Raw genomic sequence first — 16,794 nt, forward strand, 5'->3', positions numbered from 1 at the left:
GGAGGGCATTGAAGAGCAACAGAAAAGAAAAAGAGAGGGAATCCCAGGGAGTCAAGGAGATGGACGGTGCTTCATGGCGTAGAAGCAAGAGTGTGTGGTAACCAAAAAGTGAGAAGGAGAAAGGAGGTAGCAGAGAGATGATCAGAAGGAAAACAGGCAGAGCAAGGCTGTGGCGGGGCTCAGGCGAGGTCCTTGGAGCAATAGTGTTTTTTTGCAAGGAGAAGCTCACTTGAGTGCTGAACACCAGGATTCAGCAGGAGCATCCTGAGGTCTGTGCTCTCATCACTGTGCCTTGTTTATTTCCAGGTTTCTCTTCAGAGTCTTGTGAGCAGTTAGCTCTCCCAAAGGCTGGTGGAGGAGATGCTGAAGATGCACCCAGCCTACTACCAGGTGGGGGAGGTAATTATGATTTAAATGACCAATTATCTCATTAAATTAGTTGGCCTATCTCTATGCAACCAACACTTCCTTCTCTCTCCACCACCAACCCTGTAACACACTTTTGTTCAGCCTGTGGTTGTTTTCCCCAGGTGTGTGGGAGGCAAGAGGTAAAGGACGGCTAAGTCCTTTAGTGGAGGGGCTCCTGGGCAGAGAGCTTAAGGGTACAGAGTAATAAAAATTACTCTGATTGGAGGCACCAAATGGTGTTGCCTAAGTGGGCCCAATTTTATCTACATGAATATTGAATCTAAATCCTACCAGGATGGGGTTTGAGAAAAGAGAGAGAATTTTAAACTTACTTGCCAGGGATTATTTAGGAATAATGAAATACTGTATATAGAAGAGACAAAGTGGAAGTGACAAAGTTAGAAGAATGAATAGGGATATAACGGGGCAAAGAGGTAACAAACATCACGAAGGAAGAAAGAGACAGAAATGCAAAGAAATGGTAGAAGTCAGGGAGAGGAAGTCAAGTCAAAGAGATCCTGGAGTTGGTTTATGGTGCAGATGCAGCAATGTGTAAAGACAGGGTTAGAGGGAGAAAAAAGAAGGAGAGAGAGGGAGAGAGGGGAAAGGGGCCTGACAAGGTGCTAGAAGAAGTAGAGCCACTTTTGTTTGGTGCAAAGATACCTTTATTCCCAGGGAGCAGTTCTACACCCGAATATTAGAGCTCAGCATGGATCCAGGTAGGTGTCCAGGTCACTGCCAATTGTCTGTCATGTTCCTCTTTCACTCTGCAGTGTCCTGTAAACTTGCTATACAAATAGATGAAGGAGAATCAGAAGAAATGCCCAAGTTACTGCCTTATGATACAGAAGGTAATTAGGATTTAAATTAAAGCTTTATTTTTCTGTCAACATACAAAAACACCTACTCTTTCATCTCCCTTCCCATTCCCCCATCTATTCATGTATTCATCCATATATCCATCCATCCATCCATTCATCCATCCATCCATATATCCATCCATCCATCTGTATATTCATCTGTCCATCCATCCATCCAGCCATCCATCAATCCATGCATCCCTCCCCACATACAGACAGAGACAGTCTATGTCCAGCTTCTTCCTGCTTTCCTTAAGAGGCACAAGTAGCAAAAGAAGGATGAGCTCAGACTGGTTGGGGCTTTCCTGCATATAGGACATAGGGAAAGAGAGAGAGAAAGAAAAATATAGTTTGAATCGTTAAATAAAGAGAGATCTGAGTGATTGCCAGTTTTACCTCAATAGTTGTGGGATCCAAATATTACCACGTTGGGTAACATTTGGGTAATATTACCACATTGGGTAACATTTGGGTAATATTACCACATTGGGTTATAAGGAAGGGGAGATAATTTTCAACTTATTTTCTCGAGGTTATGCCAACAGCATGGATATAATGAGTATATTGCAATATAGAAAACTCAGTGAAAGACTGTTGAAATGAACTTCACAAAGGGAAGGGTCCCTGCCCCTTTGTTAATGGCAAAAGATGAGGCCTTTGATACTATGGCAGAAAAATAAGACAGAATATACAGAAAGACTGAAGTTTAAATTTTTAGATTTAAATTTTGGATTGAAAAATTAGGAACAGAAAGCTAATTAGAGAGAACAGATAGAGGCATGGAAATGAGCACCATGGAAGAAAGGAGATAAGCTTGATTATTAAATATGGCACAGGAATTAAAAGGTGGAGAAAATACTGTGAGAGGAACAGAGAGAAGAAAAATGCTCGAAGACAGAGACAGTGGAGGAGAGGCACAAAAGTTGTACACAGAGAAAAAGAGAAAGGAGAATAAGTGAAGTTAGCAGAGAGTGAAAACTGCTTGCAAGAGATGGGGAACAATATGGGACATTGTAGGGATGGAGGGAAGATTCACTAGACAGAAATAACTTCTGGCCCAAGAATGAGACATGTTAGCAGCGAGTTTTCACATTATGGTGTCCCCAGCCTATCAAAATGGCACCTGTAATGTCCTCAGAGGCAGTCGACCTCCCCCTGAGGCTTTCATGTCTCTCCCATCTATAACTTAATGATTTCAAAACACATATGTCCAGATTTATCTTCTAAGTTCATTCATCTGAGTACCTGAATACGTTCATGAAGATATCTGAAAGACCTCTCCATTTGGATGTTTTTCAGGAACCTCAATACAAGACACCTCCAAGAGTACATACCATCTTTCCTGACACAGATCTGACTCCTCTCCCAGTGTTCCCTATCTCAGGATGAAACACTATTACTCCATTCTTGAAGCAGAAACCTAGGAGCCACTCATGACTCACCCCACCTCCCTCAACTTAAACACCCCATCAACCATCCAGTAGACTTTTAGTGAGTTCTACATATCTCACCTGTCCATTTCCTTCCACCCCAACACAAAAACTCTGGTAAGATCTCTCTCTTGGACTGGAGCAACAGCCTCTAGACTCACATCTTTCCTCTGATCTTGTACCTCTCACATCCATTCTTTCCAACTCAAACAACTCTTTCAAAAATTGAAGTTGGCTTATCTTACATTTCTACTTTAAATCAATAACTACTTGGGGTCATAAGGATTAAATCTATTTTTTCCCCCAGGGCTCCAGCTTCATGTCTGCCTCTCCTGCAATTACTTCAAGGTTTATATACAAATTTTCTAGTCATTGTCATTTTCTGATGACTCTTTCTCATCTGAGCTTTCCTAAAGGCTTAGCCCTGTGCTTGAAAAAGTCACCTTGTTTCACTACAATCTCCATCATGCTCACTAATCTAGTGAAATTATATGGAAATTACATACACTCTCAGAGATGCCTTTTTTGATCCCTAGTTCTAGAAAGCAACGGGATGATAGATGCGGCAAGGACATACAGCACAGCACCAGGGGAGAAACAGGGAGAGGAGGAAGGCAGGAACAGTCCCAGAAAAAGAAACCAAGACAAGGAGAAGTACCAAGAGAGTCCAGAGGGAAGAGACAAAGGTAGGAACAGAAGAAGCAGAGACATGTGTCAAGGGTGAAAATGAGAGTGCCAACATGGGGTGGGAGACCAGGTGGGCAAGGTTTCTGACAGTCTCTATCAGATTACTGGATTGCACAAGAGCTTCTTTTACCCTCACAAAATCTTTAACATCGATATGCAAACAGCTGTATGTCTATCTTACAGACTGAGAAATAAAGCACAGAAATGCAAGCAGGATATTATCACAAAGGCAAAGTAGAAAAGGAAGAGTGGGCACCAGTGTCCTGGATGTGTCACTGGGTGATGGTTGTGCAAGGCCAGCTGGGGGTTCAGGGCCAGGTCACAGGGTCAGAATAGAAAGAAGTCCAAGGAGTTCTGCAGGTTCCCGGAGGAGTGGACCAGGGATCAATGTAAGGCTTTAAGGAAAAAAAATGCTAATGGGAGGGAAGGGAAATCATGGAAACACAGCATGGAAATAGAGCCTGCCCTTTGGAATAGGAGAGGGATCTAGAATAAGAGCTAAAGAAATAATAGAAAAGGGATATGGTATCACTGAAAAAGAAAAAAGACATAGAAACAGGAGACAAGAGAAGCCAGTTGGAGAGAAGATCAGACAATCCAAGCGCTGCTCAGCTAGGAGGGAATTATGTGGAGGCAGAACGGTGAGGAGGACACTGAGAATTACAGAGAAGGAGAAAGAGGAGCTGCAACAAGGTGGAGAAAAGGCGGAACAAGACAGGGGTGGCTCTCAGCATTTGCCCATCTTGGATGGCATGAACACACTGAGGCCTGTGTCCAAGTCACCCTCTGTGGTCTGTCAATTTCTTGTTTATCTGCAGAGACCTTTGATCTAAAAACTCCCCAAGTCACTAATGAAGGAGAACCAGAGAAGGGGCTCTGTCTACTACCAGGTGAAGGAGAAGGTAATTATGATTTAAGTTTTTAAATATTTGAGTACATCTTTGTTTTCTAGTTGGCATGGAAAAAAAGTTTCCCTTTCTCCCATCCTACCCTTCCCTTCTTCACATTCGCATACATACAGATGGAATTATGTCAATTTTCTGTTGTGCCTTTTTGAAAACTGTGAGAGAGACAAAGGATCAAGGTGAGCTGAGCCCCTGAGTGGGGACCATATTTCTGCATGGGGAATGTAGGGAGAACGAATATACCAGAGGTAGGCTGGGGCGCCAGAGAAGTGCGTGGGTGATGTTATTAAACACACATTAAACCTAAATAACAGCAGATTATGGCAACTGACGCAGGGGAGAATGTTTTCAGCCTACTTCCAGAAGGATCTGGAGCACAGACATGTTTTGTGAAAGACCGAAGGCTTGCAACTGAGGAAAGTCATGCAGGAGACCCTTGGGATGGTGCTGACAAGGGAAGGACCTGTGGTGCTATAGCCCCTGCGTGAACAGAAGATCTTTTCCAACCTGGAAGAAGATAACTTTGAGAATGAGGAAAATATATAAAATAAGGGACATTTTACCAGCATCTAGGAGCATAAGATAAAACCCAAAGAAACAGAAAAGGAGAAAGTAGAAGACACATAGAAAGGTGATAACCTCAAGGAGAAAAGTTAGAGAAAATTGTACAAATGGTAGCAAATACAATAACAACAGCAATATGGGAAGGAAGCACAGAAGAAATTATGCAGAGAAAGAAACAGATCAAAATAATTAAAGAACCCATGAAGAGTGAAAACTGTTGTCCAAGGAAAGGGGCAGGTCGAGGGCCTATGGAGCTGAAGTCAGTCACTAGATAGAAGCAGCTCCCAGCAAAGGGCACCTCTATCAATAGTGAGTTTTCCAATCCAGGCCCCCCTAGGTAGACAGTGGCACAGAAGCATACTCAGAGAGTAAGAGTACTCTTTCCCCAGTCTCATCTGCTCAGGTAGTGGAATGATTCTCATGTACATGTCTGCGATGCAGACCTGCTTTCCAAGCTCTTCCATCCATGTGCCTGAAGATATTTATCCCAGGACCCTGCCCCTTGCAATGTCTTTCAGGAACTACACACATCCAAAAGGGAAACCAACACCTCCTCCGAACCTAGAAACTCCCCTTTCTCCAGGGTTTACTCTGTCAGTAAAGGGATGAATATCCTGTTTGCTCTTCTACTCATCAGACTCTTTTTCTCTGCTTTAGCACAATTGTTCTCTGCTTTAGCACAATTGGCAATTGCAAGATGTCAATCAGATCATTTTCTTTTCCCCTTAGACGCGGTGATCTTTGCTGCACAGGATTAGATGAATTATCCTTCCTGTGGATTTCTGTGGCTTCCACCCTTCATGGGTCCCCAGCCCATATCATCTGTCCCATCTCTACTAATGGCATCAATTGTTTCAGGAGCTGCAATGATCTGATCTTTCTTTTATATGTGGGCCCTTGAGCCACATTTCCCCTGTACTCTGTATTGTTGCCTTGGCCCACTCTTCTCCTGATCCCTTTCCTTATCTGGTTCATTTCCACCATCCCAAGGATGCCTTTCCTGATGCCCAGTATGAGAAAGGGGGTGACAAGGAAATAAATGAGATGGGGAAAGCCAATAAAAAGCAGAGTCAGGGGTGCAAGAGAAAAAGGCAGGAGCAGAGAATGGAGCAGAAACACATGGAAACAAAGAGAAGCACCTGGAGCCACTGGCAGCAGGAAAGCAGGGCAAAGGCAGAAGAAATGTGCCTAGGAAAGGGGGAGGGGGAGAAGGAGAGAGAATTAGGAGTCCAGGCAGCAAGTGAGCTGATGGATGGTTCTCAGCCTTGGTGACAGCAACTGGAGTGCATCCACTTACAGGCCAGGTGAACCCACCTACAGAACCCACCTACAGGCCAGGAGGGCCTGGGTGATGGACAGCCCCACCTAGGAGATACTTCAGCTTCCCACGTCTTCACTAAGTTTTCTCTTCATAATTTCTTGAGGGATTTCTTTTCTTTCTGCAGAGGGCAGTGATGACTGTTCAGAAATGTGTGATGGAGAAGAGCCCCAGGAAGCCTCTAGCTCCCTAGCAAGATGTGGGTCAGGTAAAGAAGGGGAGGATTTCTGGCCCTGGGCTGCAGAGTGTCAGGAGGTTGAATTTGGAGCTTGTGTTTCCTGATTGTCTTTCCTCCAAGTATACTTCACAGTGAAAGAATGCAATTAAATCTGAGATTTTTCACATTTTCTATACATGGATATTTGAGAAATGCAGGGAGGAATCTTGATATAGAAGTCTGTGTTTAACGGAATGGGTTTTATTGTTTGAACATATGTGTTTAGATAATCACGTGGTAGTTGGATTATGTCAAGGCAAGGCAATGTGTTCTCCCCTTCATATTCTCATGCCTATTAATACTGAAGCATTAAAATATTTTACTGAATAAGATCTCCTGATACCCTCACAAAACCTTAAGATGGGGCCAGACAAACTGGGTAATCCTATTTTACAGATGAAGAAATAAAGGTCAGAATATGCTAGGAGGAAAAAATGCTCTTTGCCTTTATTTTTCTTCACTATCAATAGTATTACTTGAATTTAAAATTCTATTCTCACTCACTTTTTCTATGGGAATGAAAAAGCTTATCATCCCTCTGCTGGTAGATACTTTTTATCATTTTATTACAAACTTGACAAAGCCTTCAAAGAAATGGTATCCTACCCTCTAATTGACAGAATTCAGATGATCTCTTTATGAGACTAAATGCTATTTTTGACCAATACTCTTCATTATGTTATTGGATCATGCAGTATGTTTTTAGAGGACTCTGATAAGTGTTACATTTTTACCCTCAGAAACCTCAAGATTTAGGCAGGGAAAGTGCTGTTATTGTTGTTTTGAGGAGCCAGAAACACAGACGTACATGTGACACCGGTGTTTGTTAAGACCCAAGAAGGAGGGAAATGCGGAGACCAGTGTCCTGGATGACTCCTTACAGGCTTTCAGTTCTGTGAGGCGGGCATGGGTTAGGGTGGGGTCCCATAGACTGAGTCCAATGTGGATGCCCAAAGGGTTTTTAGGAATCTGAGAGACTCTACCTGGGTTTAATGGAAAGAGACTTTTATTAACAAGTAAAGCAAGCTTAAGGAGAGGAGTGGAAAAATTATTGAGAGTTAGAAAGTATGTAAATATAATCCATGATACGAGATAGGAGATATCCAGAAAAATAGAGCCAGGAAAGATACACAGAGATAGAATGTGCATAGCAGATGTAGCATATCACTGAAGGAGAAAGAGACAGATATTCAGGGAGAGATGTTTGGAAGAGAAAGTCCACAGAGCCAAAGAGAAGGACAGTTGCCTTCATAGAGTAGCATTCTATGAAGGTGTATGAAGATATAAGTGTATACCTTCATGTGCCTTAATAGGCATAGAGTGGGGCAAGGACATAAAGCACAGGACCAGGGATGCAAGAGGGAAATGAGGGAGGCAGGAGCAGTCCCAGAAAAAGAAACCAAGACAAGGAGAAGTACCAAGAGAGTCCAGCGGCAAGAGACAGAGGTAGAAACAGAAGAAGCAGAGACATGTGTCAAGCATGAAAATGAGAGTGCCAACATGGGGTGGGAGACCAGGTGGGCAAGGTTTCTGACAGTCTCTATCAGATTACTGGGTTGCACAAGAGCTCCTTTTACCCTCACAAACTCTTAAACATCTGTATGCAAACAGCTAAACGTCTATTTTAGACTGAGAAATAAAGCACAGAAATGCAAGCAGGATATTATCGCAAAGGCAAAGTAGAAAAGGAAGAGTGGGCACCAGTGTCCTGGATGTGTCACTGGGTGATGGTTGTGCAAGGCCAGCTGGGGGTTCAGGGCCGGGTCACAGGGTCAGAATAGAAAGAAGCCCAAGGAGTTCTGCAGGTTCCCTGAGGAGTGAACCAGGGATCAATGTAAGGCTTTAAGGAAAAGAAAAATGCTACCGGGAGGGAAGGGAGATCGTGGAAACACAGCATGGAAATAGAGCCTGCTCTATGGGATAGGATGGATCTAGAATAAGAGCTAAAGAAATAATAGAAAAGAGATACAATATCACTAAAAAAGAAAAAAGACATAGAAACAGGAGGCAGGAGAGGCCAGTTGGAGAGAAGATCAGACAATCCAAGCGCTGCTCAGCTAGGAGGGAACTATGTGGAGGCAGAACGGTGAGGAGGACACTGAGAATTAGAGAGAAGGAGAAAGAGGAGATGTAACAAGATGGAGAAAAGGCGGAACAAGACAGGGGTGGCTCTTAGCATTTTCCCATCTTGGATGGCGTGAATGCACTGAGGTCTGTGTCCAAGTCACCCTCTGTGGTCTGTCAGTTTCTTGTTTATCTGCAGAGACCTTTGATCTAAAGACTCCCCAAGTCACTAATGAAGGAGAACCAGAGAAGGAGCTCAGTCTACTACCAGGTGAAGGAGAAGGTAATTATGATGTACATTTTTAGGTATTTGAGTACATCTTTGTTTTCCAGTTGGCATGGGAAAAAAGCTTCCCTTTCTCCCATCCTACCCTTCTCTTCTTCACATTCGCATACATACAGATGGAATTATGTCAATTTTCTGTTGGGCTTTTTTTGTAAATTGTGAGAGACAAAGGATCAAGCTAAGGTGAGCCCCTGAGTGGAGACCATATCCCTGCATGGAGCATGTAGGGAGATACAATATGCCAGAGGTAGGCTGGGGGCACCAGAGAAGAAGTTCCTGGGTGATGTTATTAAAAACACATGAAACCGAAATATCAGCAGGTTATGGTAATTGAGGCAGGGAGATTGTTTTCAGCCTACTTTCAGAAGTATCAGGAACACAGACGTAAGTTTTGTGAATGATTGAATGCTTGCAATTGAGAAAAGTCATGTGGAAGACCCTTGGGATGGAGCTGACAAGCAAAGCGTATGCAGTTTTACAGCCCCTGCGTAAACGGAAGAACTTTTCCAACCTGGGAGAAGAGAACTTTGAGAGTGAGGAAAATATATAAAATCGTGGACATTTTACAGGCATCTAAGAGGTTAAGGTAAAACCCAAAGAAACAGAGACAGAAAAGGAGAAAGTGAAAGACAAAGTAGAAAGAGGATAATCTCGATAAGAAATAAGAGGCAGAGAGAAAAGTTAAGAGAAAATTATACAAATGGAGGCAAATACAAATGACAACAATGTTGGAAGGAAGCACAGATTAAACTATGCAGAGAAAGAGATCAAAATAATTAAAGTACCCATGAAGAGTGCAAACTATGTCGGAGGAAAGGAGCGGGTTGAGGGCCTGTAGAGCTGAAGTCAGAGTTACTAGACAGCAGCAACATCCAGCAAACGGCACCTCTATCAATAGTGAGTTTTCTGATTAAGGTCCTTCTAGGTAGAGAGTGACACAGAAGCATACTCAGAGGGTAAGAATTCTTTCTCTCCCCGCAGCCTCATCTGCTCAGGTAGTGGAATCATTGTCAAGCATTTAATATCTGTCTGTTAGGCAGGCCTCCCTTCCAAGCTCTTCCATCTGTGTGCCTGAAGACTTTTATCTTGGGACCTTCTTTATTGCAATGTCTTTCAGGAACTGAACACCTCACAGTGGAAACCAGCACCTCCCCTGAACTTAGAAACTCCTCTTTCTCCAGGGTTTGCTGTCTCAGTAAAGGGATGAATGTCCTGTTTGCTCTTCTACTCATCAGACTCATTTTTTCTGCTTTAGCACAATTGTTATTTGCAAGATATCAATCAGATCATCTTCCTTTCCCCTTAGATGTGGTGATCTTTGTTGCACAGGATTAGAAGAGTTATCCTTCCTGTGGATTTCTGTGGCTTCCACCCTTCATGGGGCCCCAGCCCATATCATCTGTCTCATCTCTACTAATGGCATCAATCATTTCAGGAGCTGCAATGATCTGATCTTTCTTTTATATGTGGGCCCTTGAGCCACACTTCCCCTGTACTATGTGTTGTTGCCTTGGCCCACTCTGCTCCTGATCCCCTTCCTTATCTGGTTCATTTCCACTATCCCAGGAATGCCTTTCCTGATACCCAGTATGAAAAAGGGGGTGACAAGGAAATAAACAAGATGGGGAAAGCTAGTAAAGAGCAGAGTCAGGGGTGCAAGAGAAAAGGATAGAAACAGAGAAGGGGGGCAGAAACGCATGGAAACAAAGAGAAGCACCTGGAGCCACTGGCAGCAGGAAAGCAGGGCAGAGGCCTGAGTCTAATGTGGAAAGGGGGAGGGGGAGAAGGAGAGAGAATTAGGAGTCCAGGCAGCAAGTGAGCTGATGGATGGTTCTCAGCCTTGGTGGCAGCAACTGGAGTGTGTCCACCTACAGGCCAGGTGAACCCACAGGGCAGACCAGGAGGACCTGGGTGGGGGACAGCCCTACCTGAGAGATACTTCAGCTTTCCACATCTTCACTAAGTTTTCTCTTCATGATTTTTTGTTGGTTGTATACTGAGACCTCTGAGGGATTTCCTTCCTTTCTGCAGAGGGCAGTGATGACTGTTCGGAAATGTGTGATGGAGAAGAGCGCCAGGAAGCCTCTAGCTCCCTAGCAAGACGTGGGTCAGGTAAGGACGGGGGGGGGGATTTCTGGCCCTGGGCTGCAGAGTGTCAGGAGGTTGAATTTGGAGCTCGTGTTTCCTGATTGACTTTCCTCTGCATATACCTCACAGTGAAAGGATCTAATTAATCCTGAGATTTTTCACATTTTCTGTACATGAATCTTTTGTGAAATGCAGGGAGGAATCTTTATACAGAAGTCCATGTTTAACAGAATGGGATTTATTGTTTGAACATATGTGTTCAGGCAGTCTAGTGGTAGTCAAAATATGCCAAGGCAAGGCAATGTGTTCCCTCCTTTATATTCTCATGCCTTTCAATACTACAGTATTAAAATATTTTACCAAATAAGATCTCTCGATACCCTCACAAAACCTTAAGATGGGGGCAGGCAAACTGAGTAATCCTATTTTATAGGTGAAGAAATAAAGGTCAGAAATACGGTAGGAAGAAGCAATGCTCTTTTGCCTTTATTTTTTCTAGCTATCAATACTATTATTTGAATTTATATAAAATTTCTATTCTCAGGAACAATTTTACACTGTTGGTGGGACTGTAAACTAGTTCAACCATTGTGGAAGTCAGTGTGGTGATTCCTCAGGGATCTAGAACTAGAAATACCATTTGACTCAGCCATCCCATTACTGGGTATATACCCAAAGGATTATAAATCATGCTGCTATAAAGACACATGCACACGTATGTTTATTGTGGCACTATTCACAATAGCAAAGACTTGGAACCAACCCAAATGTCCAACAATGATAGACTGGATTAAGAAAATGTGGCACATATACACCATGGAATACTATGCAGCCATAAAAAATGATGAGTCCATGTCCTTTGTAGGGACATGGATGAAGCTGGAAACCATCATTCTCAGCAAACTATCACAAGGACAAAAAACCAAACACTGCATGTTCTCACTCATAGGTGGGAATTGAACAATGAGAACACTTGGACACAAGAAGGGGGATATCACACACCAGGGCCTATTGTGGGGTGGGGGAGGGGGGAGGGATAGCATTAGGAGATATACCTAACGTAAATGATGAGTTAATGGGTGCAGCACACCAACACAGCACATGTATACATATGTAACAAACCTGCACGTTGTGCACATGTACCCTAAAACTTAAAGTATAATAAAAAAAATTTCTATTCTCACTCCCTCTATGGAAATAAAAAAGGGTATCATTCCTCTGCTGGTAGATACTTTTTTATGATTTTTTCACAAACTTGACAAAGCCTTCAGTGTAATGGTATTCTACCATCTAATTGGCAGAACTTAGATCAACTATTTGTGAGACTAAATGGTATTTTTGACCAGTACTTTCCATTATGTCATTGGATCATGCAGTGGTTTTTCAGAGTACTCTGATAGGTGTTATAATTTTACTCACAAAAACCTCAAGACTTAGATAGGGAAGGTGCTGTTATTGCTGTTTTAAGGAGCCAGAAACACAGAAATGCATGTGACACGGGTGTTTGATAAGACCCAAGAAAAAAGAAAGAGCAGAGACCAGTGTCCTGGATGACTCCTTACAGGCTTTCAGTTCTATGAGGTGGGCATGGGTTGGGGTGGGGTCTCATAGTCTGAGTCCAATGTGGATGCCCAAAGGGTTTTTAGGAATCCAAGAGACTCTACCAGGGTTCAATGGAAAGAGACTTTTATCTAACAAATAAAGAAAGATTAGGGAGAGATAAGGAAACATTATCAAGAGTTGGAAAATACTTGAATGTAATCTACGATACGAGATAGGAGATATCCAGAAAAATAGAGCCAGAAAAGAGAAACAGAGAGGCAATATGAAAAGTATATGTAGCACATCACTGAAGGAGGAAGAGACAGTAAGGGAGAGGAGATGTTAAGAAGAGAAAGTCCAGAAAGCCGAAAAGAACCATAGATGCCGTCATAGAGTAATAAAAAGATATCACTAGTAGAAGGGGCTATCACTTAGGCTGGGTGCAGTGGGTCACCCCTGTAATCCCAGCAATTTGGGAGGCCAAGGCAGGTGGATCACTTGAGGTCAGGAGTTCAAGGCCAGCCGGGCCAACATGGCAAAACCCCATCTCTACTAAAAATACAAAAATTAGCTGGTTGTGGTCGAGCACACCTGTAGTCCCAGCTACTCGGGAGGCTGAAACAAGAGAGTTGCTTGAACCCGGGATGTGGAGGTTGCAGTCAGCTGAGATCACATCACTGCACTCCAGCCTGGTGACAGAGCAAGATTCCATCTCAGAAGAAAAAAAGAAAAAATAAGGGGCCACCACTTAATATCAAACGAAAGGCTGAATTTATTGTTCAGTTAAGGGATAGTTGTGCTTGTGGGTCAGTTTCTCTGAACAGAGAACGTTTGTGGAAGTGTGGATCTCGGTGACTGGCGGCCTTCAAAAGTGAGATTTGTTAGTGGTTAGCTGACCTTTAGTGAAAGCAGGGTCACTGGAGTGTGGCTGTTACTGACTGTCTGACTTTCAGAAGCATGGGGAAGTCAATGGTTGGCTGGCTTTCAGAGGCCTGTGTACTGGCCAGAAGCTATTGTTGATTAATTGGGATGATTCTGGTTGTTATTGACCATATGGCCAAACAATAATGAGTTTTCCTAGAAGTGTAGCAACTTTCAATTATCAGTTTCCCCTTTAGGAAATCTCTCATCTAAAGCTGCAGGAGGCACCATCAAGTATTTTCCCCATCCAAGATGTCTTTTCTGGAAGAGGACCCTGGAAACAAAATCCTAGGATTCCCCTTCACTGAGTAGGAGTTATAGAGTTGCTAGATTGAGAGTGTTATCCTTGCAAAGGATGACATAAGAAAAAGTAATGATGTTTTACAATACGTTAATGGAATGGCAGACAACTGTTGAAAGTTTTTAATTAGCAGCAGAATTGTGCTGCTTGCAATACTATCCTATTTATTCCCTTTTGCTCCAAGAATACTCACCAGCCACCCTTGTGGCTGCAGCGTTTATCCCAAGTAAATTTGCCATGAAATATCTTGCTTTTATTATTATTTTCACATCACTCTAATATATTGACTTTGGAAACAAAAGACATTCTTCTAATTATAGCATTCTGGTTTTAGTAGTGGTATTTCCATTTACAAAATACAGTAATTGTTGATCACTGAAAATGTCAAATCCTGGAAAACGTGGCTTTCCCACATGTGCTGTTAACATTGTTACTGAACAATTGTTGGCCGAAGATTCATTTGATGAATCATATATTTTTAAAATAGATGATTCTGATATGGTTCTGTTTAGAAATAACTCCAAGAACAGTTTATATATTTTATTTTCACATTGAAAATCAATCATGTTTGCTTCAGCCTCAAAGAATGTGTTTACGTAAAATTAAATGAGTGCAGCAAGCTGCACTTTTTTTTTTTTCTAAACGGGAACAGAGTTAAAGTTGATCCAAGTACAAAATCTCCAGAACCATGGACTAATGCAGTCACCTGCAATTGCTTTGAGGCAACTAGGATGAGATGTGGCTACTAGCAATGGCTCTTTGATGTCTGTCACGTTTTGAAGTGATACCCCTAGAGCATGGCCTGTTTGTTTATTTATTTATTTATTTATTTTTATTTTTCCGTAAGTTATTGGGGTACAGGTTGTATCTGGTTACATGGGTAAGTTCTTTAGTGGTGATTTGTGAGATTTTGGTGCACCCATCACCTGAGCAGTATACGCTGCACCATATTTGTAGTCTTCTATCCCTCGCACCCCTCCCACTCTTCCCTCCAAGTCCCCAAAGTCCATTGCATCATTCTTACACCTTTGCGTCCTCATAGCTTAGCTCCCACGTATCAGTGAGAACATACAGTGTTTGGTTTTCCTTTCCTGAGTTACTTCACTTAGGATGATAGTCTCCAAGCCGGGCACGGTGGCTCACGCCTGTAGTCCCAGCACTTTGGGAGGCTGAGATGGATGGATCACCTGAGGTCAGGAGTTTGAGACCAACCTGGCCAACATGGCAAAACCCCGCCTCCGCTAAAAAAAAAAAAATACAAAAATTAGTCAGGCATGGTAGTGTGTGCCTGTAATCCCAGCTACTAGCAGGGGCTGAGGCAGGAGAATTGCTTGAACCCGGGAGGTGGAGGTGGTAATGAGCTGAGATCACACCACTGCACTCCAGCCTGGGTGACAGAACGAGACTCCATCTCAAAAAAAAAAATAGTCTCCAATCTCATCCAGGTCACTGCAAATGCTGTTAATTCATTCCTTTTTATGGCTGCGTAGTATTCCATCATATATATATATATATATATATATACCACATACATACATATATACCACAGTTTCTTTATCCACTTGTTAATTGGTGGGCATTTGGGTTGGTTCCACAATTTTGCAATTGTGAATTGTACTGCTATAAACATGCATGTGCAAGTATCTTTTTCGAATAATGACTTCTTTTCCTCTGGATAGATACCCAGTAGTGGGATTGCTGGATCAAATGGTAGTTCTATTTTTAGTTCTTTAAGGAATCTCTACACTGTTTTCCATAGCAGCTGTACTAGTTTACATTCCCATCAGCAGTGTAGAAGTGTTCCCTATTCACTGCATCCATGCCAGCATCTACTGTTTTTGATTTTTTGATTATGGCCATTCTTAAGGAGTGAGGTGGTATCGCATTGTGGTTTTGATTTGCATTTCCCTGATCATTGGTGATGTTGAGCAATTTTTTCATATGTTCATTGGCCATTTGTATATCTTCTTTTACGAACTGTCTATTCATGTCCTTAGCCCACTTTTTGATGGGATTGTTTGTTTTTTTCTTACTGATTTGTTTAAGTTCATTGTAGATTATGGATATTAGTCTTTTGTCAGATGTATAGATTGTGAAGATTTTCTCCCACTCTGTGGGTTGTCTGTTTACTCTGCTGACTGTTCCTTTTGCTGTGCAAAAGCTCTTAGGTTTAATTAAGTCCCAGCTATTTATCTTTGTTTTTCTTTCATTTGCTTTTGGGTTCTTGGTCATGAAGGCCTTGCCTAAGCCAATGTTTAGAAGGGTTTTTCTGATGTTATCTTCCAGAATTTTTATAGTTTCAGGCCTTAGATTTAAGTCCTTGATCCATCTTGAGTTGATTTTTGTATAAGGTGAGAGATGAGGATCCAGTTTCATTCTCCTACATGTGGCTTGCCAATTATCCCAGCACCATTTGTTGAATAGGGTGTCCTTTCCCCACTTTATGGTTTGTTTGCTTTGTCAAAGATCAGTTGGCTGTAAGTATTTGGGTTTACTTCTGGGTTCTCTGTTCTGTTTCATTGGTCTACGTCTATTTTTGTACCAGTACCACTCTGTTTTGGTGACTATGGCCTTATAGTATAGTTTGAAATCATGTCGTGTGATGCCTCCAGATTTGTTCTTTTTGCTTAGTCTTGCTTTGGCTTTGTGGGCTCCTTTTTGGTTCCATATGAATTTTAGAGGTGTTTTTTCTAATTCTGTGAAGAAGATGGTGGTATTTTGATGGGGATTGCATTGAATTTGTGATTGCTTTTGGCGGTATGATCATTTTCACAATATTGATTCTACCCATCCATGAAGCATGGGATGTATTTTCATTTGTTCAGGTTGTCTATGATTTCTTTCAGCAATGTTTTGTAGTTTTCCTTGTAGAGGTCTTTCGACTCCCTGGTTAGGTATATTCCTAAGTTTTTGTTGTTGTTGTTGTTGTTGTTTTGCAGCTATTGTAAAAGGGGTTGAGTTCTTGATTTGATTCTCTGCTTGGTCACTGTTGGTATATAGAAAAGCTACTGATTTGTGTACATTAATCGTGTATCCAGAAAGTTTGCTGAATTCTTTTATCAGTTCTAGGAGCTTTCTGGGGGAGTCCTTAGGGTTTTCAAGGTATACAGTCATATCATCAGCAAACAGTGAGAATTTGACTTCCTATTTACCAATTTGGATGCTCTTTATTTCTTTCTCTTGTCTGATTGCTCTGGCTAGGA

General features: G+C 42.2%; 1 protein-coding gene across 37 annotated transcripts in view, besides 1 other annotated feature; it reads left to right on the top strand.

The window, feature by feature from the left end:
- The window catches only part of SP140 (SP140 nuclear body protein), a 130,421-nt gene that overhangs the window by 58,531 nt on the left and 55,096 nt on the right, over positions 1 to 16,794 (top strand). For 8 of the 37 annotated variants that reach the window (XM_047443073.1, XM_011510517.4, XM_006712223.4 and 5 more), the window contains 7 exons: positions 307 to 399; positions 1,182 to 1,259; positions 3,235 to 3,384; positions 4,204 to 4,287; positions 6,300 to 6,380; positions 8,635 to 8,736; positions 10,771 to 10,851. In XM_047443073.1, coding sequence (XP_047299029.1) covers positions 307 to 399; positions 1,182 to 1,259; positions 3,235 to 3,384; positions 4,204 to 4,287; positions 6,300 to 6,380; positions 8,635 to 8,736; positions 10,771 to 10,851 — 669 coding nt within the window. Of the gene's footprint in view, positions 1 to 306; positions 400 to 1,181; positions 1,260 to 2,621; positions 2,760 to 3,234; positions 3,385 to 4,203; positions 4,288 to 6,299; positions 6,381 to 8,634; positions 8,737 to 10,770; positions 10,852 to 16,794 lie in introns of those variants that run through there. The other 29 variants (XM_047443077.1, XM_005246256.3, XM_047443078.1 and 26 more) reach the window with 24 other exon arrangements.
- Positions 13,110 to 13,179: an enhancer, noted in NCBI's record as "active region_17216". NCBI's record gives its function as "activates an Ori minimal core promoter by ATAC-STARR-seq in GM12878 lymphoblastoid cells {active_cell/tissue: GM12878}" and the evidence as "EXISTENCE:reporter gene assay evidence [ECO:0000049][PMID:35858748]".

This window comes from Homo sapiens, chromosome 2 (genome assembly GCF_000001405.40).
Source record: "Homo sapiens chromosome 2, GRCh38.p14 Primary Assembly".
NCBI classification, from domain to species: Eukaryota; Metazoa; Chordata; class Mammalia; order Primates; family Hominidae; genus Homo; species Homo sapiens.